Source organism: Homo sapiens, chromosome 2, assembly GCF_000001405.40.
Source record: "Homo sapiens chromosome 2, GRCh38.p14 Primary Assembly".
Classification (NCBI taxonomy): domain Eukaryota; kingdom Metazoa; phylum Chordata; class Mammalia; order Primates; family Hominidae; genus Homo; species Homo sapiens.
Window position 1 is genome coordinate 225,661,044 of NC_000002.12, and position 16,110 is coordinate 225,677,153.

Sequence of the window (16,110 nt, forward strand, 5' to 3'; positions counted from 1 at the left end):
CTGAAAAGGAAAAGAACAGAAAAAAGCATGACTGGTTAAATGGAAAAATTCCTTCTTGATTTCTTTTGTTTTCCATTAACATGTTTGAAACAGATAGCTTGAGAGTCTTTCCGGAAAATAGTATTCTTGCTAACTTGTGGGTAAATTTACCTCCAACTTAAATTGCATGTGCATTAGGAATAAATGTTTACATGCTGTTAGTACTGGCTCAGAGTGGCAGTACCCTTCATTCAGAATAATAAATATGTCTTTGCCATGAGTTTTTTACTCAAGAAACACTAGAGATCTTTAGCACTAGCACCCAGCTCACCTGCTGGACAAATCTTCATTCTTCATTCTGTGCTGCAAATGAACATTATCCTTCAGGTTGAAAACACTTCTCCAGATAAATTGGATTCCTAAAATAGCTTTTGTTGAGAGCTTCTTATGTGTTTGCCAGAGTGCTCAGAATGCTGTATTATCTAATGTTGTTCTTACAGCACACTTTTGAAGTAGGTAATATTATACCCGTTTCACTGATGATAAAATTTTTGGCTAAACAGTTTCTGTTACCTATTGAAGGTCTTATAACCAGTGAGTGGCTTTATGGATGTAAGATATAAAACCAGGTAGTTCTATCTATCAAACCCCTGCTTTATGCATAGTTGCCTCATATATAACTTCCTTTTTGAATTTGCTCTCTCTTTTTTTTTTTTTCTGAGGCGGAGTCTAGCTCTGTCACCCAGGCCGGAGTGCAGTGGCATGATCTCTGCTCACTGCAACTTCCACCTTTTGGGTTCACGTGATTCTCCTGCCTCAGCCTCCCAAGTAGTTGGGATTACAGACATGCACCACCACACCTGGCTAATTTTTGTATTTTTAATACACACAGGGTTTCACCATGTTGGCCAGGCTGGTCTCGAACTCCTGACCTCAAGTGATCTGCCCACCTCGGCCTCCCAAAGTGCTGGAATTACAGGCGTGAGCCACTGCACCTGCCCCTGAATTTGCTCCCATTCTAAAACTTATTTTCCTTCACTTTCATCCATTTATTTAATCACTCTTCAATTTCCCAGGTCTTGCCTTTTGACTTTTTGAGACTAAAATGTCATAGCAGAGGACAAATTCAACTAGGACTTCAAATAAGCAGAGTGCCAACCAAGAGCAAAATCTCCAAAGTTGACATGAGGTTGGGAAAGTAACTTCTGGAAGAAAGCTAAGTTCCATTCATCGGTTATTACATTTTTGTGGACCATGGACTAGTGCCATGGGACATCAGCCCTGCAGCTGTGCATGTGCACAAGTGTCTGTGGATATTAACACTTGAGCACATCGAACCCTTTCCACATTCTGAAAAGAAAACATATCCTCGCCCACACATGCACACATAGATATCAGCTTCCAGAGTACTGTTGTAGATTTAACCAACAACACAAAAGACCAAGACGTATTCACCAAAATGTATCTGGCTTCTGGACTTCCACAGAATCCTACGAACAGACACTTTAAAGTGGGAGGGGGGAACCCCAACTGTACTGTCATGTCAAAGCATTTGTTTTCTAAAGTAAATGCTGCATTAGAGCTAGTTAATAATCCCTAGTTGTCAGCTATTTTGACAGGGATGGCATTTGGAATGCTGCATTTAATGACTTCTTTCCCAGAAAATGAGAAAGTTATTTGAAGGACCAAAAGGTGTCAGGAGTAATCCTACCCAACCCAATCAACTTTGCATATGAAAGGGGTAGAGGTTTTTCGGGAGAAACCAATAGAGCTGAAGTTGCTTATCATTCAAGGAACGATCTAGGAAGGAACACAATCTGTACTGTCACTTGTCTGATATAAACCTAAATAATGAAACAAGGGACCTACCCTTGGAGAAAGCAAACACTCATATCCGACGATCGCAGTCTCCAGGCCTCGCGGAATTTCCAAGTATTTTGATTTCTACCTCCATATAAAATAAATAATGAATACAAAAGCACACTTTAGACCAGAAGTGTTAAATGTGTTCATTTTCAGTCATTCGTTTATTTAAAACATGGGCTATTTTTAACATTTTCTTTGAGCAAAAAAGTACAAAGCACTGTTTTTACTGTAAGCATGCATGGAGCACTAGGGAGAAGCAAGATGGGCCCAGGAAACCAGTACAGAAGGGGACTGGGGCCACTCCAGCATCTTTATGATTTGTGCTTTTTTTCTCTTGAATCCAAACAAGTCTCGCAAGATGACTCTGCAGTTTGATCACAGGTTTAGCATCTCTCACCCATTTTCCCAGCTCCAGCCTCTAAACTCACCCTCTGTTCCCAGATCCATTCTTCACAGCAGCAAAAGAGTGATTGTAGTTGAGTTCCTCCATGCAAAATACTTAAAGGTGCCCACTGCCCACAGCATGAATCACAAACAACTTTGCTTGGATTTCAAGGCCCTGTGTGACCTGGCCCTGGTTTTCCTGTTCAGCTTCCTTATCCATTACCTGCCTCCATTCACCTGCTACACCTCAGGTTCATCCACACACCCACCACAGTTCTTTCTCACTTTTTTTTTCTTTTTTCTGAGACAGAGTCTCACTGTGTCACCCAGGCTGGAGTGCAATGTCATGATCTCAGCTCACTGCAACCTCCGCCTCCCAGGTTCAAGCGATTCTCCTGCCTTAGCCTCCCAAGTAGCTGGGATTACAGGTGCACACCACCACGCCTGGCTAATTTTTGTATTTTTAGTAGAGACGGGGTTTCACCATGTTGGCCAGGATGGTCTTGATCTCTTGACCTTGTGATCTGCCTGCCTCAGCCTCCCAAAGTGCTGGGATTACAGATGTGAACCACTGCGCCCGGCCCTGTATCACTTTTAAATATTCCTGGCATGCCTCCAAGAGTTGCCTGACTCTTCCTTCTTCTTGGAACACCCTCCCTAGTCCTTGACTCCTGGCAAACTATTGCTTATTTGTCAAGTCTGGGATCAAGTGTGCTCTCCCATCCACAAGGCTTTTTTATCTTTCCCAAGCAGCTCTCCCTTCTCTGTCTCTTCCCTGTACTTACTGTCATAACCATGAAAGGCCTTATTTTTGCATCAGAGAGGAACTCTATTACACAGTAAAGCAGTGTGGGGAAAGTCAAGTTAAGTAAATTTTGCTACTATCTGAGTTTCAAATTTGCTGATGTGCACCGGAAATTGCAAAGCGAGGGATATAATATTGCTTATGTTTCTCAAATATATCCAACCATGGAATGCTTTTTGCATTTTTCCAAGGAGCATGTATGGATTCCAAAAATTCAGCTTATAATTGTTTGCATTAGAATGGAGGCTTCTTGAGGGCTGGGAATGTCTATTTTTATCCTGGAAATCTCTTGCTGTCTCAATACATATTGAATGAATAAATAATTGCTAACAGTGGAAACGGATTAGTATGTCATTGTATCACTGTTATAATAACTTGCAGACACATTGGGACTGTTGACTGTGGCTCTGCACACAGTCATCACATAGGCCCACCTCAGCTAGTTACTTACAAGTTTTACCTACTTACTGAGGATGAGAGAGAAAAATTAGAGAATAGAACTGAAATGCGGCCGGGCACGGTGGCTTATGCCTGTAATCCCAGCACTTTGGGAGGCAGAGGTGGTTGGATCACGAGGTCAGGAGATCGAGACCAGGATCATCCTGGCGAACATGGTGAAACCCCGTCTCTACTAAAAATACAAAAAAAATTAGCCGGGCGTGGTGGCGGGCGCCTGTAGTTCCAGCTACTTGGGAGGCTGAGGCAGGAGAATGGCGTGAACCTGGGAGGCAGAGCTTGCAGTGAGCTATCACGGCACTGCACTCCAGCCTGGGCGACAGAGCGAGAGTCCATCTCAAAAACAAACAAACAAACAAAAACCCCCAAAGGTTTATGAATATTAGGAGAAACTATCATGGAAACAATTCTAGAAAGACATTCCATACTCGAGTGATACAAGTATATATTTAAGGCAGAACATGAACTATGATTGGAGTAAATTAAGACATTTATAGTCTCTGAGAACAGAAGGGATTATGAAGCCTTCTCTCCACAAATAATATAGAATTTTACCTTTGCAAATAGCACAAACCTTACATAATTTCTCCATACATTTTACTTAACTTTATTTAGATTTTCTCTTTACAAAATTTTGCATAAGTTTATTGAAGCTGAACTTTGCTCTTTTTTTTTCTATAGTTCTGCCCTGGCTTTGCTGAGCAGGTTCCCTAAACACATGGAGACCTCCTCCTTGGGTGATTTAGCACTTGTTACATGCCCATAGAATCTTTAAAAATACTCTTGCAGCTAAATTCAAATACAAAGGCAAAAGAAAAAAAAATGTTTTTAAGTGTGAACACCCCCAGTGACAAACAGCTGTTCACTACTACAGTTTATTGAACCGAAAGAAGGTCTCTCCCCTTCCTGTCCTGCTGGTCTTCTCAATAGGAGTCACAAAAATGGAGCGTTTTAACACAACTGGTGAACAGTCTCATGAGCTGCGTGAAGATTTGCTAAATCTGCCAGGAGAGGGCAGCACACCACCTTTCCCTAGCTCCTTTTTTTTTTGAGACCAAAAAAAAAAAGAGTTGGAGACCAGCCTGACCAACATGGTGAAACCCCGTCTCTACTAAAAATACAAAAATTAGCCGGGTGTGGTGGTGCGTGCCTGTAATCACAGCTACTCAGGAGGCTGAGGTAGGAGAATTGCTTGAACCTGGGAGGCAGAGGTTGCAGTGAGCTGAGATTGTGCCATTGCACTCCAGCCTGGGCAACAGAGCAAGCCTCCGTCTAAAAAAAAAAAAAAAAAAAAAAAAAAAAAAGCCCACCACCCAGATAGACAGGAGGTAAGTGAGGCAAACGAGGTGGCCTAGAGTAGAGCACATCACGACCTTCTTTCCTTCTTATCCCACTCCCTCCCTCTCAGCTATTCCCAGGGGCTTTGGGTGGAGTGGCTAGACCTGGGGAAAAAGGATACCCTGGAGGATGCTGTTAGGTGCACACTTTCTAATGCTGCTCTGGCAACCTTAGATGCCACAGCTCTGAAGACCATCATCTGGGGTCTTGGCAAAAGGGTGGTGTGTGTAAAATTAACTTTCGGCCAATTTACCTTTTTCTTCTCTCTCCAAAGTCTCCATGCGCTAAAGTCACCTACTTTAATGCCAAATTGTTCACCCCATATGTCCCATGTCACCTATGTAGCCTACCTTCTCTTGCACCACCAAGCAAACACCAATAACTGACATATATCACTGTCATTGACATTTTGCAGTCATCAACATTAGTACTTGTTGACAAAAAGAGTCAAACTCTGTAAAATATTTGAAGAGATTTATTCTGAGCCAAATATGAGTGACCATGACCTGTGACACAGCCCTCAGGGGTCCTGAGAATATTTCCCCAGCGTGGTCAGGGTGAAGCTTGCTTTTATACATTTTAGGGAGGCATGAGACATCAATGAAATACATTGAAACAATATATTGGTTTGGTTCAGAAACGCGAGACAACTCAAAGCTTGGGCGGGGTTGGGGGGATGGTTCCAGGCTACAGGTAAATTTCAACATTTTTTGATTGATAATTGGTTGAGTTTGTTTAAACACTTGAGATCAATAGAAAGGAAATATTCAGGTTAAGATAAAAGATTGTGGAGACCAAGGTTCTTTTGAAGTCTTAAAGTGGCTGCCCTTAGAGACAATAGATGACAAATGTTTCTTATTTGGACCTTTAAAAAGTACTAGATTCTTAATCTTTTCAGGATTGGGAGGGCCTGAAAGAAAAAGATCTAGCTACCTTAATAGAGATTCTTTACAGATACATATTCCCCCCCCTCCATGCCCCCCCACCCCCCCAACACACACACAGAGGACAGCTTTGCAGGACCATTTCAAAATACAGCAAAGAAACATGTTTTGGGGTAAAATATTTTGACTTTCTTCTTTGTCATGTAATGTTATGCCAGGGTCAGATTGGAAAGTAAGTCACGGTATATAGGGTTAAATAAAACCATTCTGATGAGAATTTATGGTTTGTAGGGCATGACTCTCCAGACCCGTTAGATAGGAATTTGTGCAAGCTAAAAAAATCAGAGCTTAGTCCTCAGACTTCAGAATTTATAAGTTGCCTTCCTGTATTCAGCCAACAAATTCTTGTTGTGTACTGCTAAACACCAGATATTCTGCTAGATGCTTGAGTTTGAAGATGGTTGATATGACAAACTCCTGTGTTCAAAGAAATTTCAGCCTGATAAAGAAGCCAAATACGTGTGTGTGAATATATAAATATAAATATCATATATATTTAATAAGAGTGGGTGGGAGGCCTTTACAGTCAGACATAAGACAGTTTACAAAGGAGTGAGAAGTCTGAAGTCATACAATTTGTCAGAGAAATGCAAGCAGTTTAGCATTATAGGATTAACAAATGTTGAGGTGGGAAAAATTGTAGAAAAATGATTAGGGGATGAAGAGCATGTGGTAATGCTCTGGGAGAATTAGGAACCATAAGCATGATCATTATTACTCCCATTTTGAGGAAGCTGATTCACGTAGAAAGTCAAGTCAACAGAAATTTGCTAAGGAGCTGTCTCCTTTTAATTTAAATTCTGATTCCCTGAGATCATCTCACTTAAGCCTCAGATGACAGGGGGATTGTAGAAGAGAGCCCTTCCCTGAACAATTAGCATTACAAAAGAGGGCATTCTTAACCCAAATGAATCTTCAATGGATAGAATACCTAAGAGCAATCATTTGTTTCATATTTTCCTTTTGAAACTACTTAATAGAGATACCTTAATAGAGATGCTTTACAGATGCACGGTTGGAAGACTAGTATAATGTGTGTGCTTTTAAACACATACAGTTTTTTAAAATAATGTCACTTCATTTCTGAATATTTGAACATGACTATCCTAAGACCGAGTGTATTCTTCTAAACAATCAAACTCAAAAAAGCAGTCAGGTAATTTATAATAATTCACTACTACCTACTATCATCTAATATAAAGGGAATCCTCAAATCTCTACAAGGGCCCCAATATTATACCCCTCCCCAGTCTGGGATCCAATCAAGGATACGACATTACATATAGTTTTCAGTTTCTTTCTTTGTTTCTCCAAATCTCCTGAATCACAAATACTTCCCAACCTCATTAGTCTTTCAAGATAAGTGACATTTTCAGAGTCCAGAACGATTTTGCTTTTTTTCCAGAATGTCCCTTTGTCTGATTGTTCTCTTGTGATTAGATTTGAGTTCACCATGCTTAGCAAGAAAACTACATGTGATGACCTTCTCCAAGAGTCACACAGCAGATGACATCAGTTGGTTTCATCACTGGGACTGATGTTTGAACACAACATCAATAAGACTCTCTCTAGATTTGTCTACTCTATATACTCTGCGTACCAGGAGACTGAGGCCATGGGGGCTGCCTCAGATTTTCCATTAGAGGATCAGATCAGTGGATTGAGTATATTATGTTTCTTGTATTTTCTCTTAGAAAAAGAAGAAATCTAATTATGTTTTATCGATGTCTAAATATATTTGACCTAATGTTTTCTCATGTGACCATCACAACAGTCCTGCAAATCATAATCATTATCCCATCTCTGATGAGAAAACTGAGAAACAAAAGGCCAAGTGAAATCTCAAGTTCACAGAGTAATGGCAGATCTCGGCCTTGAACCCCTCTCTTCTTACTCTCAATGCACTGTCCTTTCCTGTGTGTGTGTCAGCTGCACTCTCCTGGGTATTATAGAGCAAACACATACTGAAGATTTCCTGTGCAGTTCATCACCACTAGAGGGAGGGAGAGGATCTCCAAAGTTAACATGTCTCCATTCATTTGGGCTAGAAATTACTTGACAAGTCAAACTATTAATGTAAGGTAATTACATACACAGGAATAAATAAAGAAAAAAATTGTGTCCTAATTGGTGTCCCCTGCTTTTTTTTTTTTTTTTTTTTTTTTTTTTTTTGCTGCTAATGGCTTAAAATTGATTGCATATGCATTAACTACAGACGTAATAGAGGATGATTAAGGACAAGTATGAATACCAAAAACTACATAATGAATGTCTGACTCATATTTTATTTACAGTGAGGTTTCAGGCAGGAACATGAAGTTGGCTGTTCTTTTACAATGTATGTTATCTACCTGAGGCATAAAGCATGTGGTACATGAACATACAGAGCAGATGTTAATTATTACTATTTTTCATGACTCTATCTCTTTCTTTTTACAAAAGAGATCAAAAGTCATTATGGCACGTGAATTTGGCTTTTATTACCCTGTATTGTTTTAAAATGAAAGGCCTTAACGTAGGTTTCTGCACATCACGTCTCTACCTACTACAAATAAGACACCATTGTTTAATTCATCCCTTAAAAGCTCATTCGTATGGACAAAAATGGGCAAAGCTAATCTCTATATATTTCAACTGATTATGTGTTACAAAAATAAACCCTAACTAGAGATAAAACTGGCAGCTTACATTTTCAACAACTTATTTTTCTTGATTACAATTTAAAAAATCATTTAGTGAGAAAAAAAAGGAAGAAAGAAACACAGTATTGTAATGTCAACCCTATGAAAACAAATATCCAGAATGTTCTGGGAAGAGCTCAGTTTGTTCTATAATTTGAAAACCACTGGGAACTGCTAAAGTGAATAACAAAAAAATCAAAATTTTATTAATATTTAAAATGCTGAAATGGAGAAAATTCAAAGTAGCATTCAGTTCAGTAGTAGAAAATGTGTAATTGTGTTAGACTTTAAAAAGAGAAAAATAACAATTTTTATTTCCGTTCTGTCCAGCAGTCAGATGATGTGCAAAGGGCAAGAAGGTTAAATAAATAGATACGATCATTCCAAAGACTCAAGTTGTTTGAAAGCAGTGTGAGCACACCTCCTCCAAGGAGAGTCGGGTTGTTATGAAGTACACCCAGGTTGCAGCGATTCACCTTACATGAGGGGAAGATGAAGAGCTCTTCAAATGAAGAAATGTGCTTTGCACATTCTGGCCCACTAAAACACTTTCTGCTCCAAACAGAAGTGGTATTTGCAGGCCCTACTTTGGAAGGTTTTATAGATAGGTCATGATTACTTCCTCTGACCAAATCCATTTTGTACAATCTTGCTATGGTTCTGTATCCTTGGCCTTCACAGTTGGTGTACATAGATGCCAAGGAATAAAAAGGATAACAGCCATCTGGTTCTCATCTCAACCAAAGAGGCAGGTTTAACTAGAGGAAATGGGTGCATGCTCGTGTGTCAAGTTATTTTTATTAGACCTGAAAGCAGAACCCTGGAATGTTGTACGGGGAGAGGTCATGCAATCTTTCCTTTGGAGACCTTTAAAACCACAGTAAATTTCCATATTGGTGAGATGATAGTAGTGTGGTTCTGCCTAAGAGAAAGGAAAGGATTACTAAATGAGTCTTTAGGCCATTTCAATGTAATTCTGCAGGAAATTCTAAAAAAGACCCTTACAAATTAATGGTCTTGGTTATGATTTTTATAGCCTTATGTCACCACAAAGGGGTGCTATTGCATTAGTTTATGTCCTTCCTGGGAAAACGTCTTCAGTATTTTCCAAAAAAAAAAAAAAAAAAAAAAAAAATTCCTACATAGGCTTTCAGCAATCATTTTGGCAGCATCAAGCAGTAATTCATTGTTTATCATGTGTTTTGGAATGACAGGGATCTGTATTAAAATCAATATTGCTAAGATTTCTTTGGATTGTTTACAGGCATACCTTGGAGGTATCATGGGTTCAATTCCAGACCATGGCAATATAGTGAATATTGCAATAAAGCAAGTCTCAATAATTTTTTGGTTTTCCAGTACATAGAAAAATTATTTTTACATTATAATCCAGTCTATTAAGTGTAAACATTGTGTCTAAACAATGTACATACCTTAATTAAAAAAATACTTCATTGCTAAAAATGCTAACGATCATCTGAGCCTGCATCAAGTCCTATGTTTTTGCCAGTAGAAGGTCTTTCCTCAGTGTTGATGGCTGCTGACTGATCAGGGTAGTGGTTGCTGAAGGTTGGGGTGGCTGTGGCAATTTCTTAAAATAGGACAACAGCAAAGTTTGCCACATCAATTTAACTCTTCCTTTTACAAAAGATTCCTCTGTAGAATGCAATGCTGTTTTTTTTTCTTTTTCCCTCCTTTACCTATGCCAAACCATATGATGCTGTTTGAGAACATTTTCCCCACAGTAGAATTAAAGTCATTTCTCTCAAACCCTGACACTGCTTTATCAACTAAGCTTATGTGATATTCTAAATCCTTTCTTGTCATTTCCACAATGTTCATAGCACCTTTACCAGGGGTGCATTTCATCTCAAGAAACCACTTTCTTTGTTCATCCCTAAAGAGCAACTCATCATGTGTTCAAGTTTTATCATGAGATTGCTGCAATTCAGTTACTTCTTCAAGCTCCCTTTCTAATTCTAGTTTTCTTGTTATAATTTCCACTTTACCACATCTGCAGTCCACTGAGGCCTTCAGTGCCTCAAAGTCATCCAAAAGGTTGAGATCAACTTCTTCCAAATTCCTGTTCATGTTGATATTTCAAACTCTTCCCATGAATGACAAGTGTTCTTAATGATATCTAGAGTGGTGAATCCTTTCCAGAAGTTTTTAAGTTACTTTTTTTTACCAAATTTATCAAATGAATCACTATCTGTGGCAGCTATAGCCTTATGAAATAGATTTCTTAAATAATAAGATTTCAAAGTCAAAATTACTCCTTGATTCATGGATTTAGAATGAATGTTATCTTAGCAGGCATAAAAACATTAATCTCCTTGTACATCTCCATGAGAGCTATTGAGTGACCAGGTGCATTGTCAATGAACAGTAATATTTTGAAAGGAATTCTTTTTTTTTCTGTGCAGTAGGTCTCAACATGGGCTTTAAATATTTAATAAATAATGCTGTAAACAGATGTACTGGCATCCACACTTTTTTTTTTCATTTCTAGAGCACAGGCAGAGTAGGTTTAGCATAATTCTTGAGGGCCTTAATATTTTGAAATAGTAAATGAGCATTGGCTTCAACTTAAAGTCACTGGCTGCATTAACTCCTAACAAGAGAGTCAACGTGTCCTTTGAAACCAGGTATTGACTTCTCTCTAGCTAGGAAAGCTCTAGATGGCATCTTCTTCCAACAGAAGGCTGTTTCTTCTACATCAAAAGTCTTTTTAGTATAGCCACCTTCATCAGTTATTTTAGCTAGATGTTCTGGATAACTTACTGCTTCACCTTACACTTTTATGTTATGAAAATGGCTACTTTCTTTAAACCTAATCAACCAATTTCTGCTGGCTGCAAACTTTTCTTCCATAGGTCAGTCACCTACTTCAGCCTTCGTATAACTGAAGAGCTAAAGCATTGCTCTGAATTAATTTTTGGCTTAAGAGAATGTGTGGCTGGTTTAATCTTCTACCCACACCACTAAAACTTTCTCCATATCAGCAAGAAGGCTGTTTCACTTTTTAATCATTCAAATATTAAGTGCAGTAACACTTGTAATTTCCTTTAAGAACTTTTCCTTTGCATTCACAACTTGGGTAACTATTGGCAACAAGAAACGTGGCATTTGGCCTATATTGACTTTTGACTTGCCTTCTTCACTAAGCTTAATCATATCTACCTTTTGATTCAAAGCGAGTAATGTGCAGCTTTTCCTTTCACTTGAGCACTTAGAGGCCACTGTAGGGTTATTAATTGGCCTAATTTCAACATTGTCATGTCTCAGGGAAGAGGGAGGCCTGAGGAGAGGAAGAGATGGGGGATATTTGGTTGGTGGAGCAGTGAGAACACGTAAAGCACTAATTGATTAAGTTTGCCATCTTATATGGGCATGGTTCGTGGTGCCCCCAAGCAATTACAATAGTGACATCAAAGGCAATCACAGATCACCATAAACAGATATAATGTTTTAGTCTGTTCTCACACTGTTAATAAAAACATACCTGAGACTGGGGAAAAAAAAAAAAGAGGTTTAATGGACTTACAGTTCCGCATGGCTGAGGAGGCCTCACAATCATGGTGGAAGGCAAGGAGGAACAAGTTATGTCTTATATGGATGGTGGCAGGCAAAGAGAGAGTTCTTGTGGAGAAACTCCCCCTTATGGAACCATCGGACCTGGTGAGGCTTACTTACTATCATGAGAACAGCACGGGAAAGACCTGCCCCCATGCTTCAATTACCTCCCACCAGGTCCCTCCCACAACACATGGAAATTCAAGATGAGATTTGGTTTGGAGATCTGGTTTGAGCCAAACCATATCATATAATAATACTGAAGAAGTTTGAAATACTGTGAGAATTATGAAAATGTGATACAGAGACAATAAGTGATCACATAGTGTTGGAAAAACGGTGACAACAGACTTGCTTGACAGAGGGTTGCCTCAAATCTTCAATTTATTTAAAAAAAAATGCAATGTCTATGAAGCACAATAAAGCAAAGCACAATAAAACGAGGTAAGCTTATGTAACAATTTCTTTAGAAAAATACACACAATCTTTGGATTATTGCTGTGCATTCATTACAAACTACACTTTTTAAATTTTTCTTTAGGCAGTGATGGGTGATATGGTTCTTACCTTGACCACTGTGAATCAAATTAATGTCTTATGCTGCAGTCATATAACCCTTTTGGGGTTAGGATTCTGGCATTAAAGAGCAATTGTTAGATCTGCAGGATAGTCAGAAAGCTCAGTCTTCTTTGAGAAATGATATGTGGTAAAACAAGAACATTCAGCCTGTGACTCCAGGAATAGTACCTCCTATCCACTCTTCCCTGGCAGGGAGTATGAAAAGAACAAAGCCGTCTACAGTCCTGTGTGTACTCACTACCAACAGTCCTCTGTTTCCCTTTTATCTTGGGTACAATGACAAAGCAGGCTGTCTGTTCCTGACCCAGATGGACTTCAGAACTGTAGCTCACAAATTTCCCCTGTGATGAGCAGAGGACCCCATTCGGGGCTGAGGAAGTCAGGTGAAGCCACAAAGCTTGGAGTCTGAAATCGCCTGAGCTGAGTCTAAAAGAGTTTCAGTAAGTAGCTTTCTGCTCTGAGAGCTGTGGGGTAGAGAGAGAGAGGAAACAAAAAAAGTAAAAACTTTCATTTCTTCTGACAAGACTTTGATGAGGAGACTGGGGACTTGAAGATAATGTAACTTGTAGAGAGTTGGGGCTTTGATTGTATATTAGGTTGTGGTATTTGGAGTTGGGGGTTAAAAATGTGTTCTGACATGCTGTACAAAGAAGGGCTATGTTTTCTGGTGTTTGCAAGTGAAATTAATTTCAAAATAGCTGAGGGTTTATTAGTCCCCCTCAGAAGAGTTTAACATCCCTTTATCTAGAAGCTTTGCTGTGGCTGTAGGAAGGGTTAGTGTGTTTGGAAAAATTGACAAGGAATCTTTGTGTTTATATTTGCCCGCTGGGACTTTGACTTGTGAGTATGTGAGGGGCAGAAGTGTGTTAAGGTGCTACAGTGATTAGCGGAGAAGCTAGACACATGCAAAGTGAATCAGCAGAGGGTGCAGGAAAACTGCCCTCAATCCAGAATCACCATCCTATGACCATGACCCCCGACATGTCATTAGTCTGTTGATTTTTCTCCTTTCCTGGAGACCAGGAAGCCCCTCGATATTTGTCAAAAGTGGAATATATGTTTTATCACATATCTTGAACCTCATCTATTTGTAGATTCTCCTGGAGGCAGTATGTTGAGGGAACAGGAGGTTAAATTTGGTCACAATAGGAGTGTTGGGAGATCTGTCGATCTTTGCCAAAGGCATGAGGTCATCAGTATTCAGGGAATTTGAAAAGGGGGTGTATTTTGAATGTTATATTTCCAGTAACATACTGATTTTAGAGTAGACTGTGTGTCAGCAAAGTGAGGGCAAGCCCCCAGTCTTATGTGTTAACAGGAAAGAAAGGATGAAATTCTTAATATCTATAGTAAAGTGAGTGATTATCCATTATTACCTTCTCAAATTATTTAACTAGAAATTTTTTTACAAGCCACATATGTCATATTAGTGATTTTTTCACAATTTATTGTTTATTAGTGGTAAAAGAATTTCCATCGAACTTTTTAAAAATTTCAACTTTTATTATAGTTTAAAGTATACATGTCCAGGTTTGTTACATGGGTAAATTGCCGATGCCGAGGCTTGAGGTCCCAATGATCCCATCACCAAGGCAGTAAGCATAGTACCCAATGGGCATTTCTTCAGCTCACACCCCCACCTCCCTCCCTTCCCCGTCTAGTGATCCCTAGTGTCTATTGTTCCCATCTATACATTCATGTGTAGTCACTGTTTAGCTCCGACTTATAAGTGAGAACATGCAATATTTGACTTGCTAGTATTGCAATAGCTTGCCTAGGATAATGGCCTCCAGCATCATCCATATTGCTGCAAAGGACATAATTTTGTTCTTTTTTATGGCTTCCTAGTATTCCATGGTGTATTTGTACCACATTTTTTAAAAAATCAAATCCACTGTTTATGGGCACTTAGGTTGATTCCACTTCCTTGCTATTGTGAACAGTGCTCCAATGAACATATCGTGCATGTGTCTGATAGAATGAATTGTTTTCCTGTGGGTATACACCCAGTAGTGGGATTATTAGCTCAGTTGGTACTCCTATTATAAGTTCTTTGAGAAATCTCCAAACTGATTTCCACAGTGGCTGAACTAGTTTTTATTCCCACCAACCATGTATAAGCATTCTCTTTTCTCTGCTCCCTTGACAACATCTGTAGTTTTGTGATTTTTTAATAGTCACCATTCCAATTGATGTGAGATGGTAACTCATCATGGTTTTGACTTGCATTTCTCTGATGATTAGCGATCTTAAACATTTTTGTATATGTTTGTTGGCCACTTGTGTGCCTTCTTTTGAGAAATGTCTATTCGTGTCCTTTGCTTATTTTTCACTGGGATTTTTTGCTTTTGTTTTTGTTTTTCGCTTGTTGATTTAAGTTCCTTGTAGATTCTGGATATTAGACCTTTATCAGAGGCACAGTTTATGAATAATTCCTCTCATTCTATATGCTGTATGTTTACTCTATTGGTAATTTGTTTTGCTCTGCAGAAGCTCTTAGTTTAACTAGGCCCCACATCAATTTTTGATTTTGTTGTAATTGCTTTTGGGGACTTAGCCATAAATTCTTTCACAAAACCTAGGTTGAGAAGGGTATTTCCTGTTTTTTTTCTAGGATTTTTATATTCTGAGGTCAGACATTTACATCTTTAATTCATCTTTAATTAATTTTCACATATGGTGAGAGGTACGGGTCTAGTTTCATTCTTCTGCATATGGCTAGCCAATTCTTCCAGCACCATTTATTGAATAGGGAATCCTTTCTCCATTGCCTATTTTTGTTAATTTTATTGAAGATTATATGGTTGTAGACTGGGCAGTTTACAAAAGAAAGAGGTTTAATGGGACTTACAGTTCCACATGGCTGGGGAGGCCTCACAATCATGGTGAAAGGCAAGGAGGAGCAAGTTCATCTTACATGGATGGCAGCAAGCAAAGAGAGAGCTTGTACAGAGCAACTTCTATTTTAAAAACCATAAGATCTTGTGAGACCCATTCACTATCACGAGAACAGCACAGGAAAGGCCTACCCCTGTGATTCAGTCATCTCCCACCAGATCCCTCTCACAACATGTGGAAATTATGGGAGCCACAAGATAAGATTTTGTTGGGGACACAGAGCCAAACTATATCAAGTACTATGCTGTTTTAATTACTGTAGCCTTATAGTATAGTTTGAAGTCAGGCAATGTGATACCTCTAGCGTTATTCTTTTTGGTTAGAATTGCTTTGACTATTTGGGCTTTTTGGTTCCAAATGAATTTTAGAATAGATTTTTATAATTCTGTGACAAATGATATTGGCATTTTGATAGGGATAGTATTGAATGTGTAAGTTGCCTTAGGCAGTATGGCCATTTTAACTATACAGATTCTTCCAACCCATGAGCATGGAATAATTTTCTATTTATTTGTGTTAGAGAGTCTCTGATTTTTTTGAGCAGTGTTTTGTAGTTTTCCTTGTAGAGATCTTTCACCTTCTTGGTTAGATGGATTTCTATGTT

The 16,110-nt window shown here is 38.9% G+C and overlaps 1 protein-coding gene across 3 annotated transcripts in view, besides 1 other annotated feature; it reads left to right on the forward strand.

Moving 5' to 3' along the window:
• Positions 1–16,110, forward strand: part of NYAP2 (neuronal tyrosine-phosphorylated phosphoinositide-3-kinase adaptor 2) — a 305,716-nt gene that overhangs the window by 263,105 nt on the left and 26,501 nt on the right. The gene's annotated exons all lie outside the window — the stretch shown is intronic.
• Positions 7,660–7,709: a silencer, noted in NCBI's record as "silent region_12387". NCBI's record gives its function as "represses an Ori minimal core promoter by ATAC-STARR-seq in GM12878 lymphoblastoid cells {active_cell/tissue: GM12878}" and the evidence as "EXISTENCE:reporter gene assay evidence [ECO:0000049][PMID:35858748]".